General features: G+C 43.8%; 1 protein-coding gene across 4 annotated transcripts in view, besides 3 other annotated features; it reads right to left on the reverse strand.

The window, feature by feature from the left end:
• DLGAP3 (DLG associated protein 3) overlaps positions 1-20,553 on the reverse strand; it is a 64,215-nt gene that overhangs the window by 13,553 nt on the left and 30,109 nt on the right. For 3 of the 4 annotated variants that reach the window (NM_001080418.3, XM_011541879.3, XM_047426631.1), the window contains 3 exons: positions 7,084-7,297; positions 6,490-6,803; positions 5,990-6,075 (listed from right to left, as the gene is read on the reverse strand). In NM_001080418.3, the coding sequence (NP_001073887.1) occupies positions 5,990-6,075; positions 6,490-6,803; positions 7,084-7,297 (614 nt within the window). Of the gene's footprint in view, positions 1-5,989; positions 6,076-6,489; positions 6,804-7,083; positions 7,298-10,229; positions 13,019-20,553 lie in introns of those variants that run through there. The other variant, XM_011541880.3, reaches the window with a different exon arrangement.
• Positions 5,738-6,733: an enhancer, noted in NCBI's record as "H3K27ac-H3K4me1 hESC enhancer chr1:35350327-35351322 (GRCh37/hg19 assembly coordinates)". NCBI's record gives its function as "activates a minimal SCP1, AML or CMV promoter by ChIP-STARR-seq in primed H9 embryonic stem cells {active_cell/tissue: H9 hESC(primed)}" and the evidence as "EXISTENCE:reporter gene assay evidence [ECO:0000049][PMID:30033119]".
• Positions 5,738-6,874: a biological region, named in NCBI's record as "H3K27ac-H3K4me1 hESC enhancer GRCh37_chr1:35350327-35351322".
• Positions 6,675-6,874: a silencer, noted in NCBI's record as "silent region_630". NCBI's record gives its function as "represses an Ori minimal core promoter by ATAC-STARR-seq in GM12878 lymphoblastoid cells {active_cell/tissue: GM12878}" and the evidence as "EXISTENCE:reporter gene assay evidence [ECO:0000049][PMID:35858748]".

Here is a 20,553-nt window from a genome sequence, read left to right on the forward strand (position 1 = left end):
GTGAACCTAGGAGGCGGAGCTTGCAGTGAGCCGAGATCGCGCCACTGCACTCCACCCGGGGCGAGAGCGAGACTCTGCCTCAAAAAAAAAAAAGAAAAAAAAAAATTCCAGAAGCTGCGGGGGGGCATAGTAGGGGATGGTTTTGGGATGATTCAAGCACATTACATTTATTGGGCATTTTATTTCTACTATTATTATTACATTGTAATATATAATAAAATAATTATTCAACTCATCATAATGTAGAATCAGTGGGAGCCCTGAGCTTGTTTTCCTGCAACTAGACGGTCCCATCTGAGGGTAACGGGAGACAGATTATCAAACATTAGATTCTCATAAGGAGCACACAACCTAGATCCCTTACATATGCACGCAGTTCACAATAGGGTTCAGGCTCCAATGAGAATCGAATGCTACCGCAGATCTGACAGCAGGCGGAGCTCAGGCAGTAATGCTCACTCACCTGCTGCGCACCTCCTGCTGTGCCGCCTGGTTCCCGACAGGCCATGGACAAATACCAGTCCCTGGCCTGGGGTTTGGGGACCCCTGATACATGATATATATACATATGATGAAGGAGGTCTCAACAAATTCTAAGCAATAAATATAATAGGTACATAATATGACCACAATGTAGCAAATTTAGAAATCAATAATGAAAAGGCTGTCCCTTGTCAAAAAAATTCATTTGAAAACTAAAAAAAAAAATTATTCTAAAAATTCATAGGTTAAAAAGGAAATTACGACAAAAGTGATGAAAGATGAAAGTTACATATTCAATATGTACAATAAAAATACCGCTTCCCAAAACTTATGAGATATAGCCATAAAAGGATATAGTTATAAGGGAAATTATAGCCCTAACAGCACATGTTAAAAAATAAAAAATATTGAAAGTTAGGGATGAATTCAAGAGGCATAAAGAAAGACAAACACAGCAGACAAAAGAAAATAACCAAAAGTAGAAGGAAGGAAATATTAAAGATTGCTCACCAAAACAAAAAACTAGTTTTTTTCAAAGACGAATAAAATGTAAGTTTCAACATATGTATTTTTTTCTTTCCCCCCCTTTTCTTTCTTTGACACAAGGTCTCAGAGTCTCAGAGACAGGCTGAAGTACAGTGGTGTGATCAGAGATCACTGCACCCTCAAACCCATGGGTTCAAGTTATCCACCTGCCTCAGCTTCCCCAGGAGCTGGAACTACAGATGCATGCCACCATGCCCAGCTAATTTTTGCATTTTTTGTAGAGATCAGGTCTCACTACGTTGCCCAGGCTCATCTTGAACTCCTGATCTCAAGCAATCCCACCTCAGCCTCCCAAAGTACTGGGACTATAGGTATGAGTTACTAGGTCTAGCCTAAAAATATGTTTAATTATAAAATATACAAACCTCAGGCAAGGCTGACTCAAGAAAGAGAGGTAAGACATAAATACATGGTATTGGAAATAAAAAGGGAGCCAAGCACAGTGGCTCACGCCTGTAATCCCAGGACTTTGGGAGGCTGAGGCGGGCGGATCACCTGAGGTCAGAAGTTCGAGACCAGCCTAGTCAACATGGTGAAAACCCGTCTCTACTAAAAATACAAAAATTAGCCGGGCATGGTGGCAGATGCCTGTAATCCCAGCTACTCGGGAGGTGGAAGTTGCAGTGAGCCAAGATCACACCACTGCACTCCAGAGTGAGACTCTGTCTCAAAAAAAAAAAGAAGAAGAAATGCAAAGGGAGATATCAATATAGAGATGCAATAAATATTGATAACATTTTAATACTATGAGAAAGAATATTTGTGCCAAAAACTTTGAAAACTGTCAATTCTTATGTTTCTTTTTTAAATAAAATATAAATCACCAAAATGATTCAAGAAAAAAAATAAAACCAGAATAGGTCAATAATCACTAAAGAAACTGAAGCTGTAGTTTTAAAAGTCTCTCCTATCCCCAAAAGGCATCAGGCATAGATAATTTTATAGGCAACCTTTACCAAACCTAAAGAATAGATAAGTCTTGTCTTACACAAATTGTTCCAAAGAACAAAAACACAGAGAAACCTACCAAATTCATTTTAGGAGCCTATCTTAGCTCTAATACCTGAATTGAAAAGCAGTAAAAAATTGTAGGCTTACAATTATTATGATATATCACTTATGATACATTCATAAATCTAAATGATTTAAAATTTTAAAGTAGCAACTGTTCAAAAATCTAATACTGTATATAAAAATAATATAGCAAAACTGTAACAAAAACCCCTAGAGCTCCACATAGCTATTCTTTGTCTTTAGTCATGAGAACCCTGATTCTTAGCTATGTAGTTTACACCCTCCACATTGCTTCCCAGCTAAAAGACTATACCCCACAGCCTCCCTTGCAGCTAGGTGCCACCATGTGATGAGATTTTAGCCAATGTGATGAAACTGGTTGTGTGTAACTTGCAGGAAGTCTTTTTAAAAAGGATGGACTGCATCCCTCTTCCTCTTTACTCCTTCTCACTGCTCAGAATGCAGACATGACTGGGGGAGCTTGAACTTAAGGTCCCTAGACATGAAGTGATGTACAAAATAGAAGGAGCCTGGAGTTCTGACACTGCACTCCCTACATCTAAGCTGGCTTTTTTTTTTTAAGTGAGAGAAAAATACACTTGTTTAAGACACTACTGAGGCCCTGTGACTCACAGCCAAATTTAATCCAAACTGACAATGGGATCAAGCAGGGTTTATCCCAGGAATGAAAGAATGGAAAATCCATTCATTCATATAATTCACCATGTTACACATGGAAGGAGAAAAATCTATGATCATCTAAATAGATTCTGAGAAAACATTCAATAAAATTTCACTCATATTTTCTATTTTAAAAAATAAAAATAAGATGCTTATCCAACTAGGAATAGAAAGGAATTTCCTTAACCTGACAAATGGTATCCATCAAAATTTGTAGCAAACATCATCTTGAAAAACATAGCCACTAAAGTCAATACTACTGAACAGTGAACAGAAGTCCTATTCAATGCAATATTACAAGAAAAATAAATGAAAATACAGATTTAAAAGAAATATCTTCATTCACAGAAAAATAACTGACTATATAGGAAGCCCATCATGATTTTCAGATAACCTATGAGACTAATAAGAGAGACCTAATTCAGCAGCAACGTTACTGAATACAAAATCAACATACAAAACATACAAAACCTAACAGTAGAGGCCGGGTGTGGTAGCTCACGCCTGTAATCCCAGCACTTTGGGAGGCCGAGGCGGGCTGATCACCTGAGGTCAGGAGCTTGAGACCAGCCTGGCTAACATGGCAACACCCCATCTCTACTGAAAACACAAAAAACTAGCCAGGCGTGGTGGCGGGTGCCTGTAATCCCAGGTACTTGAGAGGCTGAAGCAGGAGAATGGCGTGAACCCGGGAGGCAGAGGTTGCAGTGAGCCGAGATCATGCCACTGCACTCCAGCCTGGACGACAAGAGCAAAATGCCATCTCAAAAAAAATAAAATTAAAATAAAAATAAATAAACCTAACAGTGCTACCACACACTAGCAGTGCCTAGTTGTAAAATGCAATAGAAGAAAAACATCCCAATCACAATAGCCACCACATTGCAAAACACAATCACCTTTCTTCTGGATCATGAAAAATCCTCCTAACTAGCCTTCTCGTTTCCACTATTGCTTTCTTCAAATTCATTCTCCACTCAGCAGCTTGTGATCTTTCATGAACATAAGTTAGATCATGTTGCACTCCTTCTTTAACCTTTACATGGCTACTCATTACTCATAATTAGATTCCAATTCCTTATCATGTCCATGCTCTGCATAACCTGCCCCTGCCTGTTCTCCAATTAACTCCCTTCCCACTCCCCTGCCCCACTCCACACCAGCCACATGGACCTTCTTTCAGTTCCCGATGCATGTCAAACTCTTTCCTGCCCCAACACCTCCACATATGCTATTCCCTCTCCCCTGAATGCTTTTCCTCCAATCATCACCTGAGAGTTCTTAGTCAATCCTCAAGTCTCAGCTTAAATGTCACCTGTTAATCTAAATAAGGTCCCTTCTTCTCTCTTATCTCCTCCTTTTTCTTTCATATTCCTACATAATATGCAATAAAATCCCACTACCTATTATATCATAATGTGTTGTCATATTTTTATTCAAGGATTATTTATTCATTGCCTTGATTTCCCTCTAGACCATAGCTTCTGTGAGGGCAGAAGTCATGTCTTTGATGTTTCCTGAAGCATTTAACACAGTGCATAGGAGCTGTCATACAACACGTGCTTAGTAAGTATCTGATGAATGAATGAATCAATCAATCAATGACAAGAGTTTGCTGATTTAGCAAGAGTCTCAGCTAGAAGGCCTGCAGCACTCTTCCCAGGATTCAAGGGTTATTAGGAGGAATGTGGGGAACCCCCACCCCCCTGGACCTATCTAGACAAGGAACCAAAAAGCCTCTAAAGGGAGTGAGTGGGCTTGGTGGTCCATGGGATAGCACTAGAATTGGGGGTGGGTAGGATTCAGAACATAGAGTTGCATCCATCCATGACTCCTACCCCATCTCTCAATAATTCAAGTCACAGATTTGCAAATTGGGTTTGCCATAAAATGCTATTTTTCTGAAATCTTTGTGGCACAGTAAAAGTTTGGTGAACAGCAGGTTTAGAAGTCATGCAGGCAACCAGGGCAGCATTATGCCACCCTCGATGAAGGCATTTACAGCCCCAGGAGCACACAGAACTTCAGGGAGCCAAATCAGAAGTTGAGAAAAATGGTGAATCCCATAGGAACACCAAAAAAACTTCATCAGGCACAAACACAAGACATCCCAAGGACATCCCAGAAATAGCTGGGGAAATCTGGGCGAAGGACAGCAACTGGGAACAGAGCTGCGAGGAACCACTGCTAGTGGGACACTGGTTTTTTGTGTTTTGGGTTTTTTTTGAGATAGTCTCACTCAGTCACCCAGGCTGGAGTGCAGTGGTGCAATCTCAGCTCGCTGCAACCTCAGGCTCCTGGGTTCAACCAATTCTCATGCCTCAGCCTCTCGAGCAGCTGAGACTACAGGAGTGTGCCACCATGCTCAGCTAATTTTTGTATTTTTAGTAGAGATGGGGTTTTGCCATGTTGGCCAGGCTGGTCTCAAGCTCCTGGCCTCAAGTGATCCACCCACCCTGGCCTTCCAAAGTGCTGGGATTACAGGCGTGAGCCACCGCACCTGGCCTGGGACACTAGTTTTATTCCTCCAGTCGTATGGCCTGGGAAGCTCAGATACCATGAAACCGTTATGGCCAGCCCCTGGCAAGCTCCCAGACACCCTTTCTCCCCATAGGCACCCAACAACAGAGAGGCCTCTTTCTGGTATCCCCTCCAGAGCTGGCAATGCTAATTCTTCAGTGAAAATTAAGGAGTCAATGTTTCTGAGGCCACCTAATGCCAGAATAGTGGCTGCTGCTAATTGTACTATCTCAGGTACACCACAGACTCAGGCATGTAATAGGTACCCCCAACTGGTTAAATGCTTGTGTGAGCCAAGTGAGGAGGAGTGTTATATCTGCCAGGGGCTCCTGAGAGGCAATCTTCCCGTTTGTTTCTTTTTGAGCTCACATACTTGTACACCACAGGATGTAATGAGGGATTGGCAGATCCTATCATCCCCTGGAAAGGACAATTGCTGGAGGCCTGCTCGGCACCTACATGTAACCTTTCCCATCCTCTCCTTCCCTGCAACTGCTGTGTATCTCCCGTCTGCCTCTGAGCACCTGGGGTGGGCATGGGCACAAGAACTCTAGGTTTGATGACTCCTCTGGTGACATCTCTATGGAACAGCCCCTGTGGCTGCTCTGACCACCCTCTATAAAAAGGCTTGGTCTCACTTCCAGGAAAAGAGGATGTGCAGGGAGACTGGGCTAGTGGGGACACTATGCAGCCCTCTCTCCTCCTGTCTCCCAGCGAAGCCTGGGCACTCCCACCGTGACTTTACCTCTTGTCCTCTTCCACCTGCACGCCAATAGAGTGGAACTCCCTCCGGCTCCTGTTCTCGGTGTCCGAATCTGAGATCGTCTCCACCTGGTGGCAGGGTGGAGGAGTCAGTGGCTGTGGCGAGCCAAGGTGAAAGCCCTTCCCGGGGAGAACGGCTAGCAATGGCTGCGCCCCAAGCCAGCTGGCAGGTCCTGCAAAGACCATCTGCCTGAACAAGATGAGAGACCCAGGCGGTCGGTCACAGGCCTCAAAGTGGCAACCACTGGGCACAGCCCTCCAGCCCTCCATTAGTCAGGAGGGGCGATGGTGCCAGGACGAGGGACGAGGGAGTGGGCGGGGGCTGGCTGGAGCAGCCCCGTCGATGTCCAGGCACGGGGTTCACTTGCAGCTCAGGGCAAGCCAGAAAGAATGTCGATATATCCAGAAGGCCGCTTCCAGCCCCTCACCCCAGCCCCGACCGACCAGGGTCAGAGCCCTCGTGGGCGCCTCCCCGTTCCATACCTGCACCCCAATGGACGGCCGCCACTTCCGCTGCCGCGCCAGGCTCCGCAGCTCCTCCCTGCCAGGGATGGTCTTGATGATGAGTGTGGGGGGCTTGGGGCTGGCCCGGGGCGGCACCGGCGCCAACTCCAGTGTGCGCGCACCCATGGCGGGGCCGTCCAGCCCGTCGGCGGAGCTGCAGCGCCGGGCGGGGCCCTCGGCCGCCGTGAAGCTCTCGTGCGCGGAGTCGGTGCTGCTCTGGGCGGTGATGGAGATGCGGGGCGGGGCCTGGCTTCCCGGCGGGATGGGGGGCGGGGCCTTTCTGAAGTTGAAGGCTGTGGCCGGCGAGCGCAGAGACGCAGTGGGTGAGGCTCGCGGCCCTGCCTGGGTCCTGGGCCCGCGCCCGACTCCCACCCTCAAGAGGCCCTACGGGACCCTGCAGCGGCGCGCACTCCACATGCTGCTGCACACACGCCAACGGACGCTCTCCCCGTCATCCGACCCCGGGAGCGAGCGATCTGCGCGGGTCACAGCACAGTCGAGGGGGAGGCCAGAACCCGGACCCAGGGCGCTCTCCTGCCTAGGGCCGGGCCAGGGGCAGGAAGGTGTACTCACAGGAGCCGGGCCTCCCTGAGACAGCGGCAGGGGTAGCGAGGAGGGGCAGGCAGTCGTCGTCTTGAGAGCAGCCGGCCTGGATGGCCCGGAGGTAGCTGTGGCTCCGCATGCGGAAACAGCCGGGCAGGTCCAGGGCGTCCACGGCCTGGGACTCCAGCTCCCCAAACACCGACCCGCACACGGCCTCCAGCTGCTGGTTCAACTCATCGCTGAGCTGGGGGGCAGGGGGTCGGGAGGACAGTTATAAGGTGCCGGGAGGGGGTGGAAGTCCCTGGGGTGCTCTGCCTTAGGGGAAGACCTCTCTATATCTGCAGAGGCTGTAGGCGACTCTTCCGCATTTGAACTAAAAGAAACTCTAACTCTTTGCAAAGAAAGATGGGGGCATCTCTGCCCCACTCTGCTCCCAAGGCTTGTCTTGGGGCCCAGTCTTTCCTCTAAATATCCCACCCCCACCCCCACCTCCACCCCACCTATGCCTCTTCCAGGTGTCTGGCTGGCTGCACTCCAGACTGCAGACCACCATGTTTTTCTCTCCACCTAGTCCCATCCCCTGACGTTTCTCTCACCTGACCCCAACAGAGAGGACCAGGGACCTGGCATGCACCCTCCTGCCCAGTATGGGGGTGGGGACTTCATGGAGGACATCTTTTATTATTTATAATCCATTACATTACAAAATTGATTGAAAGCTCTGTGTATATATATACACTACATACATGTACTATATATATACTACATATATACTATATATATACACTACATGTATATATGCTATATATATATAAAATACCAACTGGCAGGATGGAAACTAATGCGTAAGTGATGGAGCAAAGTTATTAACCTACCAGTGTCCCAAGCCTTCCCCCACCTTCTTTTTTTTTTTTTTTTTTTTTTTTTTTTTGAGACAGAGTCTCGCTCAGTTGCCCAGGCTGGAGTGCAGTGGCGCGATCTCGGCTCACTGCAAGCTCTGCCTCCCGGGTTCACCCCATTTTCCTGCCTCAGCCTCCCAAGTAGCTGGGACTACAGGTGCCTGCCACGACGCCCGGCTAATTTTTTTGTATTTCTAGTAGAGACAGGATTTCACCGTATTAGCCAGGATGGTCTCGATCTCCTGACCTCATAATCTGCCCGTCTCGGCCTCTCAAAGTGCTGGGATTATAGGCGTGAGCCACCGCACCCGGCCCTTGCCTTCCCCAACCTTCTATCCACTCACTCGGGTTCTGGCTTAACCTGTGGGTTCCTTCTCTACCCTCCCCCACTGAGGAAAGCTTAGCCATTGCTGGATGAGGTTCTGGTTTTGTTTTTCGTATTTTGGTGGTGCAGAATCCATGGTGTTAAAAAAAAAAAAAGTTAAAGTATGAAAAAAAGCAAAACAAAAATTTTGTTGGTGGAACTGTGCCGCACACCACCACATGAAGACTAAATATACCACAGAGGTTGCAGCTTCATTCACATTACAAGAGAGAACTGGTGCAAAGAAAAAGTAAAGGCAGGAAAAGGTGCTACCCGAGGTAAGTGCTACACCCAGAACACAGGTGACAAAGTCCTGAACATTGCTCAAGATGGGCACATGTTTAACCCTGAGCTTCCAAGCAGGCAAAGCATCAGGGAGTATAGCCTCAGAGTTGCCTGCATGGGCTATGCGTGAGACTTCTCCTAGATTCAAGTGCTGGCTCTACCACTTCCTAGCAGAATGGCCTGGGAAAGTTAAAGTTTGGGGGCCTCAGTTTGCTCAGCTGTCAAATGGGAGTGATAATGGTACCATCTTCATAGGGCTATTGAGGGGACTGAAAGAAAAACATGTGAGCCTTTTGGTACAGGTACTGGCACATAGTAAGCCCTCGGCTAGCGGCATGCGAAGGTCTCAGGGCCTCCCTGGTAAACACAGGCCAGATGCCCATGAGAACCACAACAATTCCTGTCCCTGAGACTAAGAGACAATCATCCCCTGTGGATGATTATGTAGAGTCCATTGGATGAAGTCATGGATAAGGTCCTCGACAGCATCCCATGGCAAACATAACAGCAAGTATCACATGGCTGCATCTTGTGACATCTCCCAGGAAAGATTCACGGCATTATATTTACGTGCAGTCAACAGAGGCTCAAAGGAGTGGCCTGATCCATGTGTAAACTGCAGCTCAGTGTTTCCATAATTCAGCCTCCAAAGCATAACATGATTTCACTGGATTCTACTTCAAATAGAGCCATTTCTATTCCAATCTACTAATGGGCAAACAAGACCCAGAGAGGGCAGGTGAATTGTCTGAGGATGCCCAGCTGGTAGGTGATAAAACTGAAATTAAATGTCATGCTTCCTGGCTCCCATGTAAGGCTGACTGAGCAACAGATTCTCTTGGGGAGCTTGTTAAACCTACATTAACTCAGGCCCCACCCCAAGGATCTGAACCCAAGGTTAACAAAACACCTCTCTTGCTTTGGCTGCTTAGAAGCTCAGAGCCAAATTTGCTGGAGATTTAGATTCGTTGGTTCCAATGTGGGCCTACTAATTGAAAAGAAGGATTGTCTGAACTTTTTGAAGCTTTTTCTAAAGGAGCTTCATTACAAGTGTATGGAAATCCCAGGCCATGGAAAATCAATCCAAGACCCCGCAGAAGTTAAGTTCTCTCATATTTGACTGACACAAGCCACACTTGTGTGACAGTTGTGGCTTTCACCATGATGCTCTGTCATCTACCTCTCAGTCTTTCTGTCTCTGTATTTCTGGGGCACCAAAGACAACAGTTGCCAGCGTATTTCCTAAAACACAGGAACTGAACTAACTCCTGCTATTTCTGGGCTAGGCTCAAGACACTCCCCAATTAGAACAAATGCAGCCCAGAGTGTCCCTCTTGGAGCACAGGGGAGCTAATCTAACCCTAGCAGAAAGCACACTGGTCTCGAGTCCAGACACCAGGGATGAAAGGAATCTCACTCTGTTGTATATTTCTGTATCTCTAGCCCTCTTCTGTGTATAAAGCACTAGGCATAATATCTGGCACACAGTAGATGCTCAATAAACTATAGCTACTATTATTAGCAACAAGAGGCTCTTAAATCGCAGTGACAATACCACTCAGAATGAGAAGTGCCTCTTTCCCTGGGGTTCTGCAGCTCTTGAAATCCCACCCACAGGCAATACTCACAACCAATTCTATCCAAGGCAGACAAAAGAAGGTGAACAACTCCCTGGGGTCATACACCCGCCAGCTCAGCTGGCCAAGAGGAGCTTCTGGGGTTCCAACAGGAGACCAGGACACAAGGGAAACACGGACTCAGAGACTCTCAGAGAAATATTACACCCATGTTGATCTTTACTATCCTACAGTTATAAAACTGTAACATTGTACTGTGAATGCTCCTATTATCCCTGCACTGACTTCCACCCTGCTTCCCCCAACATCCATTTACAGGAGACTCAAAGTCAAAGAATCCTCTTGGGATGAGATCCTTAGCCTTTCTCCAAACCAGACTGGAATCAGTAGCCATTTCCAAGCTCATGAAATATTTAAAGTAAAAATGCTTTGTGTCTAATTGGAAATTGTCCAGACTAGAGTTGGTGGGTCCAACAGGGGGCCAGGCAACATCGTGTATACTTTACTTGTGTTATTTAGTTTAGATAACCTTTAGAAAACTCTCCCATTTCAAAACATTGGATGAAATATAACAAATGTTGCTTTATATGCATAGCTGAGCTCACAAGAAAGCGAGATAAGTCCCCAGGGGACAAAAGCAAAGAGGAGACTGGAAAATCAGAATATTAACTGTGTGAGCCAATGCTGCAAACAGCCCAGTGGAGGCGGGAGGTGGGGGCAGGGGCTGTTGGTCTCAGCGTTTTGGTAAAGGCTTAGGTTTTAACACCCACTTGGGCATAGGAGGAAGGCTTTGGGCCCACATGAAGCGTGGAATTGGAAAGGAGAACCTGCATAAAGTTAGGAAAAGTGAAACCTTTGATGAAAATGTAGACTAGAATAAAAAAATTAGTCATCACCACAGGCTGATGACAAGGAAGCTGGTCTGAAGTACAGGGATGGCGGGAAGGGAAAAGAGGCAAATCCCCTAAGAATCTGTACCTACAAGCTGGTCCTCACACAGCCACGGTACAGTGTATCTGCATGAACCTTCATGGGCCACACCCCTAAAATTAAAAATTAGCATAAAATAGTTCCAAACCAGGCATATTCCAACAGAAGCAACTGCAAAATATTTCCTGGGGAACTCACTCCTAACCCAAGCTGCTCATGCTTCTCACAGATAAATTTCCATTGAAGGTGAGTGTATTATGTGGGAGACAGCCTCTGAAATAGCTCCTAATGATCTCCATCTCCTGGAACTCACACCCTTGTGTAATCCCTTTCTCATGAGTGTGGACCAGACTTATTGGCCCACTTCTAATGAATAGAATATGGCAGATACAATGGGATATCACTTCTGAGATTAGGTTACAAACAGACTGTGGCTTCCATCTTAGACACCTTTTCTTATTCTCTTTCTCTCAAAGCCTTTGCTCTGGGGGAGGCAAGCTGCTATGCTGTGAGTAGCCCTGTAGTGAGTCTCACATAGAAGAAATTGATGTCCCTGGTTAGTAGCCAGCAAGGATCTGTAGCCTGCCAACAGCCATGTGAGTGAGCATGGAAGCAGATCTTCACCCAGTGAAGCCTTGAGATGCTGCAGCCTTGGCCAACACCTTGATTGCAACTTTGTGAGACACTTGACCCAGTCGCACCCAGCCAGGCTGCACTCAGATTCCTGATCCACAGAAACTGTGAGATAATAAATATTTGTTGTTTAAAGATACTACATTTGGGGATAACTTACATAGCAATAGAAAATACAAATTGTGACATAAACAAAAACTAACTTTTATTGAGTTAAGCCATTGAGAATTCAAGATTTCTCTGTTAAAGCAGCCAGTGCTACCTTAGCTAAAATAAAATAACTTTTAAATGATGTTTAAAAGTTCCAAGCTTAAAAGATAAAACTGAGAACAGAAGAAAATACGACTCTAAAGCAGGACAAACTGTCAAAACCCACCATTTTATCACTCTGCAAATCAATCAAAGACATACAACAAAGAAACATGTATTCATAAAAATTACTGGACTTTGGGTAAGAATAGCACGACTCTATAGTATTCTTGCCTGAGGCTGCTCTCGTTCACCAGGCTCCCAATGCTATCAGTTGCAATACTTCAACAAACGTGGTGCCGCCTGTGAAAAATCAGCTGCTTCACTGCCTCTGCCAGAGGGCTCCACTTAATTTGGGGCATTGTCAGTTATAATATCAAGAACAGGAAAGGCCAGAAGCACTGTTAGGCTGGGTTTCAGCAATGTTTGGGCCAAACAATGGACTGGCAAACTAACCAGGAATTTATCAGAAAATTCCAGGGAGTGAGACAGACCAAGGGAGTTTGATAAGCTCTCCACATATCTTGGGTTAACTCGAAGCTGGGTGAATGCACAGCAGAGACCAGAGAAGCCTGAGCCACCCACACATCCCTAGCCAATGGAGCTTATATATGTGTGCAGGGGAAATAAAAGAGTCTGGTGAAGAGTAAAAGCCAGGGTAGGTTTGAAAACAACCTGAACTTTGCCCTCCCCAGCTCACACATAGAACTATAGGCAGACACAAAGTCTAACTAGCTTGAGGTTCTTGAGCACAACCTCCGAAAAATCTCTGGCTGAACACTAAGCTATGCAGATATGGGGGAAACCCCTAAGAAACAAGGCTTAAAATAAAAATAAGAAGGAAATAAAACTGAATGGAAACATCAGAGGCCACATGTTGTAGGGAAGACAGATTTCACAGATTTCATTCAGGGATTAACAAACAAAGCAATAACAATCTTCAAGAGGAAAACATAATCTAGAATTACTACAATATATTATCTAAAATGTTCAGTATTTAACAAAAAATTATGAAACATGCAAATAAACAAGAAGGTATGCATATCCCCAAATGTTGCTTTTATCAGACAAAGACTACAAGGCAGCTATTATAAATATATCAAAGAATTAAAGGAAACCATGCTTAAAGATTTAAAGGAAAGCATGACAACAATGACTTCATGAATACAAATCACAACAAAGAGAGAGAGATTAAATAAAGGAACAAATGGAAATTCTGGAGCTGAAGAGTAGGGTAACTGAAATTAAAAATTCAGTAGAGGAGCTCACCATAATAAATGATCAGTAAACATGAAGATGGATCTGTATAAATTATCCAATATGAATAATGGAGAGAAAAAATATTAAACAGAAATGAACACAGCCTCAGAGGCCTATGGGACAACATCAAGCATAGCACCATGCATGTGATGGGAGTTCCAGAAGGAGGAGGGGAAAAAAAGAGGAAAAGGAAGAGATAGGGCAGAAAAAAATATTTGGAGAGACAATAGCCAAAAACTTTCCTTTTGTTTTTGTTCTCGTTTTTTGTTTTTGTTTTTTTTAGAGATGAGGTCTCACTATGTTGCCCAGGCTTCAGTGCAGTGGCTATTCACAGGCACAATCATAACATAGTGCACTACAGGTCAAACTCTTGGGCTAAAGCAATCCTACTGCCTCCACTTCCCAAGTGGCTAGGGCTACAGGTGCCCACTACTGTGCCTACCTACCAAATTTAATTAAAAAACAAAAAACATTAGAGATCAAAGAAGCTCAATGAACCTAAAGTAGGTTAAACACTAAGAGATCTATATTCACACAAATTACAGTCAAAATGTTGAAAGCTGAAAACAGAAAATCTTAATAGCAGCACAAGAAAAACAATTCATCACATAGAGGGAAACAACTCACTTTTCATCAAAAACAATGAACACACGGCCGGGCGCGGTGGCTCACGCCTGTAATCCCAGCACTTTGGGAGGCCGAGGTGGGTGGATCATGAGGTCAGGAGATCGAGACCATCCTGGCTAACAAGGTGAAACCCCGTCTCTACTAAAAATACAAAAAATTAGCCGGGCGCGGTGGCGGGCGCCTGTAGTCCCAGCTACTCGGGAGGCTGAGGCAGGAGAATGGCGTGAACCCGGGAAGCGGAGCTTGCAGTGAGCCGAGATTGCGCCACTGCAGTCCGCAGTCCGGCCTGGGCGACAGAGCGAGACTCCGTCTCAAAAAAAAAAAAAAAAAAAAACAATGAACACCAGAAGGCAGTGGAGTGGTATATTCTAAGTGCTGAAAGAAAAATAACTGTCAGCCAGGAATTTTATATCCAGCAAAACTATTCTTCCAAGATGAAGTAAAAATAAAAACATTTCCAGATAAATGTAGACTGAATAATTTATTGCCAGGAGACTTATATTATGAGAAGCACTAATGGAAGTCCTTCAGGCTAAAGGGAAAATAAAGTAATAGCCAATGGTAACTCAAATACAGAAGAAGAAATAAAGAGCACCAGAAATGGTAAATATGTGAGTAAATACAAGAGCCTCTATAAATATATTTTCCTCACTTCCTCTCTTAACTTCTTTAAAAGATGTAAGATTACACAAAGCACTTATTATAATACCAATGTTGGTTTATAACAAGTGTTAGGTTTAAAACATATATAGGTAATATATGACAGTAATAGCAAAAAGGGGGAAAATGAGTTATATTAGAGCAATGCTCCTATATTTTACCATAATTATATTTTGATAAGCTAAGATATACATTGTAATTCCTAGTGCAATCACTAAGAAAGTAACTCAAATTGTATAGTAAAAAATTAACAAATAAATATAAATGGTACACTAAAATATTTATTGATTTAATACAAAAGAAGACAGTAAAGAAGGAACAGAGGATCAAAAAATAATATGACAGTCCAACCACATCAATAACCACATTAAGATGTGAAGGTCTGGCATGGTGGCTCATGCCTGTAATCCCAGAACTTTGGGAGGCCAAGGTGGGTGGATCACTTGAGCTCAGAAGTTTTGAGACCAGCCTGGGCAACATAGTGAAGCCCCATCTCTACAAGAAATACAAAAATTAGCCAGGCATGGTGGTATGTGTCTCTAGTTCCAGCTACTTGGGGAACTGAGGTGGGAGGATTGATTGAGCCTGGGAGGTCAAGGCTGCAGTGAGCCATGTTCACACCACTACCTTGTAGCTTAATGACAGAGCAAGACCCTTCCTCAAAAACAAATTAAATAAATAAAATAAAACATGAATGGACAAAAACACTCATTCAAAAGGCATAGTGATAAGATAAAGCAAAAAAAAAAAAAAAACCATTAGATGCTGTCTACAGGAGACATACCTTAAATCTGAAACACAAACAGTTGAAAGTAAAAGAATGGGGAAAAGATATACTATGCAAACTATACCATGAGAGAATTTTCCAGAATTGATGAAAAACATGAATCCACAGACCTATGGAGCACACACATGAATATATCATAGCAAAACTGCAGAACAATAAAATCAAAGCAAGATCTCAACAGCAACCTGAGAGAAATTAAAACTACCTACAAAGACAATCAGGATGATAGCAGACTCCTTAACGGCAACAACAGACAGATGACAAAAGAATATCTTCAAAACACTTAGAGAAAATAAATGTTAAGCTAGAATTCCCACAATAAGCTAAACTGTATCAAACAGTATGGGTAAAATATATTTTTTGTTAAAGTCCAAGTTTGCTACTAACAGATATTCACTGAAAAAATTACTAAAGAATATACTTTAGGAGGAAACAATGAGATGTAAGGAGGTAAAGTGAGGAGTAAAAAAGGTAGAGATGTGAGTACATACAATCAAGAGCTAATAATATAAAAAGTAACAATAATAATAGAGACTAATTTGACAGGTTAAAAGGTAGAACTAAAATACTGGGCAATAAGTCCACATAAGAAGGGAAGAAGTCAAGGAAATTAAAGTGTCCTAAGATCACTTAAGTATTTGAGGTGATGGGTATGTCAATTCACTTGATTTCATTATTCCATATTGTATTCATAAGTCATAACATTACTTTATACCCCATAAATATATACACCCACAATTTGTCAATTTATAATAAAAATTAAAAGTAAAATAGGCCAGGAGCATTGGCTCATGCCTGTAATCCCAGAACTTTGGGAGGCCAAGGCAGGCGGATGACGAGGTCAGGAGATCGAGACGATCCTGGCTAACACGGTGAAACCCCGTCTGTACTAAAAATACAAAAAAATTAGCCAGGCGTGGTGGCGGGCGCCTGTAGTCTCAGCTACTCCGGAGACTGAGGCAGAAGAATGGCGTGAACCCAGGAAGCGGAGCTTGCAGTGAGCCGAGATCATGCCACTGCACTCCTACCTGGGCGACAGAGCGAGACTGTCTCAAAAAAAAAAAAAAATTAAAATAATAATAATAATAAGTAAAATAAATGCTGAAAGAAATCAAAGAAGAACTGAATAAATGGAAATACATCCAATATTCAAGGATAATAATACTTAATATTGTTAAGAATACAATACTCCATAAATTAATCTACACATTCAGAGCAATCCCTTCAAATTCCCAACTATATTTTTTATAGAAATCAACAAGCCTACCCAAAATCCATGTGTATATGCAAAGGAAACACAAAACACAAAGCAGTCTTTAAAAGGAGTAACAAAATTGTATAATTTCAGCTTACCAAAATCAATCCTTACCACACAGTTACAGCAATCAAAGCATGTGGTAATAGCATAAAGATAGGTTCAAGCAGACCAATGGAATAAATTTTAAGGTTCATTAATAAACACATGCATTTATGGTAAATTGGTTTTGAAAAAGGGGCCAAGAAATTTCAATGAGGACATAAAAGCCTTTTCAACAAATGATGCTGGGAAAATTGGATATCCGCATTCAAAAACATAAAGCTGGACCCCTAACTTGAATCACACATACACACACACACACACACACACACACACACACACACACTACTCAAAGTGGGTCATACATCTAAATATAAATGTTAAACTACAAAATTCTTAGGAGAAATATTAGAGTAAATTTTTGTGATCTTGCATTAGACAAAGATTTCTTAAATTTTACACCAAAGCACAATCAAGAAGAGAAAAATTGATGAATTATGCATCATCAAGTTTAAAATGTTTTGTTCTCCAAACAACAACATAAAAAATATAAAAATACAAATTACTGAATAGTGGAAACCACTCCAGCTGACACCTTGGTCAGATTTCTAGCCTCCAGAATTGTGAGAAAATAAATTTTTGTTGCCAAAAAAAAGAAGAACAAGAAGGGAAGAGGTCATCAAAATCAGAATGTCGGCCAGGTGTGGTGGCTCATGTCTGTAAACCCAGCACTTTGGGAGGCCAAGGTGAGTGGATCACCTGATATCAGGAGTTGGGAACCAGCCTGGCCAACATAGTGAAACCCCGTCTCTACTACAAATACAAAACAGTTAGCCAGGTGTGGTGGCGCACACGTGTAATCCCAGTTATTCGGGAGGCTGAGGCAGGAGAATCGCTTGAACCCGGGAGATGGAGGTTGCAGTGAGCAGAGATCTAGCCACTGCACTCTGGCCTGGGCAACAGAGCCAGACTCCATCACACACACACACACACACACACACACACACAAAATCAAACTGTCCTATGGTCTCTGTATTGTTTAGGAGGAGCACAGAAAAAACTGTCAGCTTCAGACGTTAAGTCAAATATGCATATGAAAATTATAAGGGTAACCACAAAGAATAAAATACAATATATAACTATTAAACCAGTGTGGGATTTGGTGGGGAGAAGAATAAAGAAAACTCAAACCAAAAGGAGGCAGCAAAGGAGCAGGAAAGCACCAGTCCAAAGGCAAGATAAATAGAAGGCACAAAATAAGATGACAGAAATAAACCCAAGGGTTAGGGCTAGGGTCATCACACTACCCTAGGTTTAGGCCAAGGGGTAATCACAGATAATCTGTAATCACAATAAATATAAATGTACTAAACTCTCAAGCAATTATCAGAATGGATATAGGTAAAATGTAGCTATAACTATTTTCAAAAAATATACCTGAGACATAGACAAAAAGCTTTAAAGTAAAAGATGGAAAAAGGTGTTTTAGGCAAATACTAAACGAAAAAAAAATAGACTGAAGAGGAAAAAAGTATTATGAGACATAATAGGGTGACATCTCTAGTGCTTTAAACTTATTTCATCTTCTATAAAGCAAGAATAAGAAGCCATACCTCCAGGCTAAATATGTCAAGTATATGTGATGTTAGATAATGCAAAGTGCTAAGAAGAAGGAGAAAGAGCAGGAGGAAGAAGACAGAGAAGACCTCAACAATGACAGTACAGGGAAGGGGAATAGGAAATGTTGGAAAGGGAGAGTTAAATTAAAATTTTAGGGCATTTGGGAAAAGACCTGAAAGAAGTTAGGAAGTGATCCATGGGAGTGGCTGGGAAGGGGACATCCAGGCAAAGGTAGTGGCAAATGCAAGGGCCCTAGGGAGTCTAGTGTGGCTGGAGTGGGAGGGAGGGGAACAGCCTTAGGAGAGGAACTCAGAGGCAGCTCCACTCCAGCGAGGTCACCAGGTCATGCAGGCCTCGAAAGCCATGGTTAGGTTCTTGATGTTTACTCTGAGCAACGTGAGGGTTTTGAACAGAAGAGCGAGTGTGATTATAGTTTTTAAAGATCATGTGGGCTGTAATGAGAGAGGATGAAGTGGAGCAAGAGCAAATACAGGAGACCAACTACAAGGCAGTGCCATCGTCCAGACAAAAGGACATGGTGCCTGGAAGAACCGGTGGCAGTGGAGATGGTGAGGAGTGGTTGGATCCTGGATATATTTTAAAGGTGGGACCAGCAGGATCAGCTGAAGGATTGGAGGTGAGTTGTGAGAGAGAGAAAGTGGTCAAGACTGACTTCAGGCTTTTAAACCAGAGCTTCTAGAAGGATAAAGTTGCCATTATCTGAAATGGAGAATTCAGAGGATAGAGCAGCAACTGCGGCAGCCAGGGGCGGGAGGGGATTGTGGAGGGTGTGTGTATCAGCAGTTTAGTTTTGGACATCTTAAGTTTGAGATGTCTACTAAACATCCGAATGAGATTTCAATACACAGTTAGACATATATGCCTGGCATTTACAAGAGAGTTTGGGCTGGAGATATACATTTGGTAGTCATCAGGCTCTCAGCCATGAGCCCAGACAAGATCACCTAAGGAGTAGGTATAGAGAGAAGTCCAGGGACTGAGCCCTAGAAAACTCCAGTGTTTAGATCCTGGGGAGTTATAGAGGCACCCAAGACACAGACTGAGGATAAGCAGCCAGGGAGGGAATCTAGGAGAATGTAGAGGGTGTGGTGTCCTCCAAGCCAACCAAGTAAAGTCTTTCAGGAAGGAAGGAGTCTTCAACTGTGTTACATGTGGCTGATGGGTGAGGTAAAATGAGGGCTAAGCATTAACTCGTGGGTTTAACAACATAGGCTGGTCTGATGTAAAAAGAGAGCTGTGCCAATCAGATTTCCTGGTTCAGGCAATGGAACAAAGGAATACTGAGAGACTGCAGCAGTGAACAATGAGAGCCAACGTGGACAGTCTTTTGCATTGCATTTTTTCCCCAGCATACAGTAAAAATAGCTAACCTTTATTGAGTGCTGGCTATGTGCCAAGAACACTATTATGATGCCTATTTTTAAAAAGGGAAAGTGGGGCTCAAAAAAAGTCAAGTAACTTGCCCCAGGTCAGTCAGCTGGTAAGTAGCCAAGCTGGAATTCAACCCCATCTCATGTGTTTAATCACTAAATGCTGCTGCTTCCGTCTAATTAAGGGGAAAGTCTACACTTAGATATGGAACTCACATTTATAAAATGCCATTTTTGGGCCAAGTACCTTGTGTTTGCATACATTTTCTCACTGAACTCTCAAAAACCCCTGCAAAATAACTGTCCCTAACCATTGCCATTTTAAAGATGAGAAATGGAGGTGTTGAAAAGTAAGGTCTCTTGCTGGTGGTTCCTCAGGACAGAGGGGTAAGGTGGCAGAATTCAGGCCCAGATCATGTCTGAGGCTGCAGCTTGGCCTGCGCCCTGTCTGTACAAATCAATTCTACTTTTTTTTTTTTTTTTTTTTAAGACAGAGCCTCACTGTGTCGCCCAGGCTGGAATGCAGTGGCACCATCTCGGCTCATTCTCGCCATTCTCCTGCCTCAGCCTCCCGAGTAGCTGGGACTACAGGCACCCGCCACCATGCCTGGCTAATTTTTTATATTTTTAGTAGAGACGGGGTTTCACCGTGTTAGCCAGGCTGGTCTTGGTCTCCTGACCTCGTGATCCGACCACCTCGGCCTCCCAAAGTGCTGGGATCACAGGCGAGAGCCACTGCACCCGGCCAATCCTACCTTTTACATGGGGGCAAGGAGGGAGCAATCAGGCCTGTGAAGAGCCCCAGGGCACTGGCGTTGCCCTTACAAGCTCATCACTTTGAGGACACTTGGTGGGTTTTAAGGCTGTGATTCTCTGAGACTCCCAGCCTGAGTCAGCTCCAGGAGTCCTAAGGCAGGTTTC

The sequence above is a fragment of the Homo sapiens genome, chromosome 1 (genome assembly GCF_000001405.40).
Source record: "Homo sapiens chromosome 1, GRCh38.p14 Primary Assembly".
NCBI lineage: Eukaryota > Metazoa > Chordata > Mammalia > Primates > Hominidae > Homo > Homo sapiens.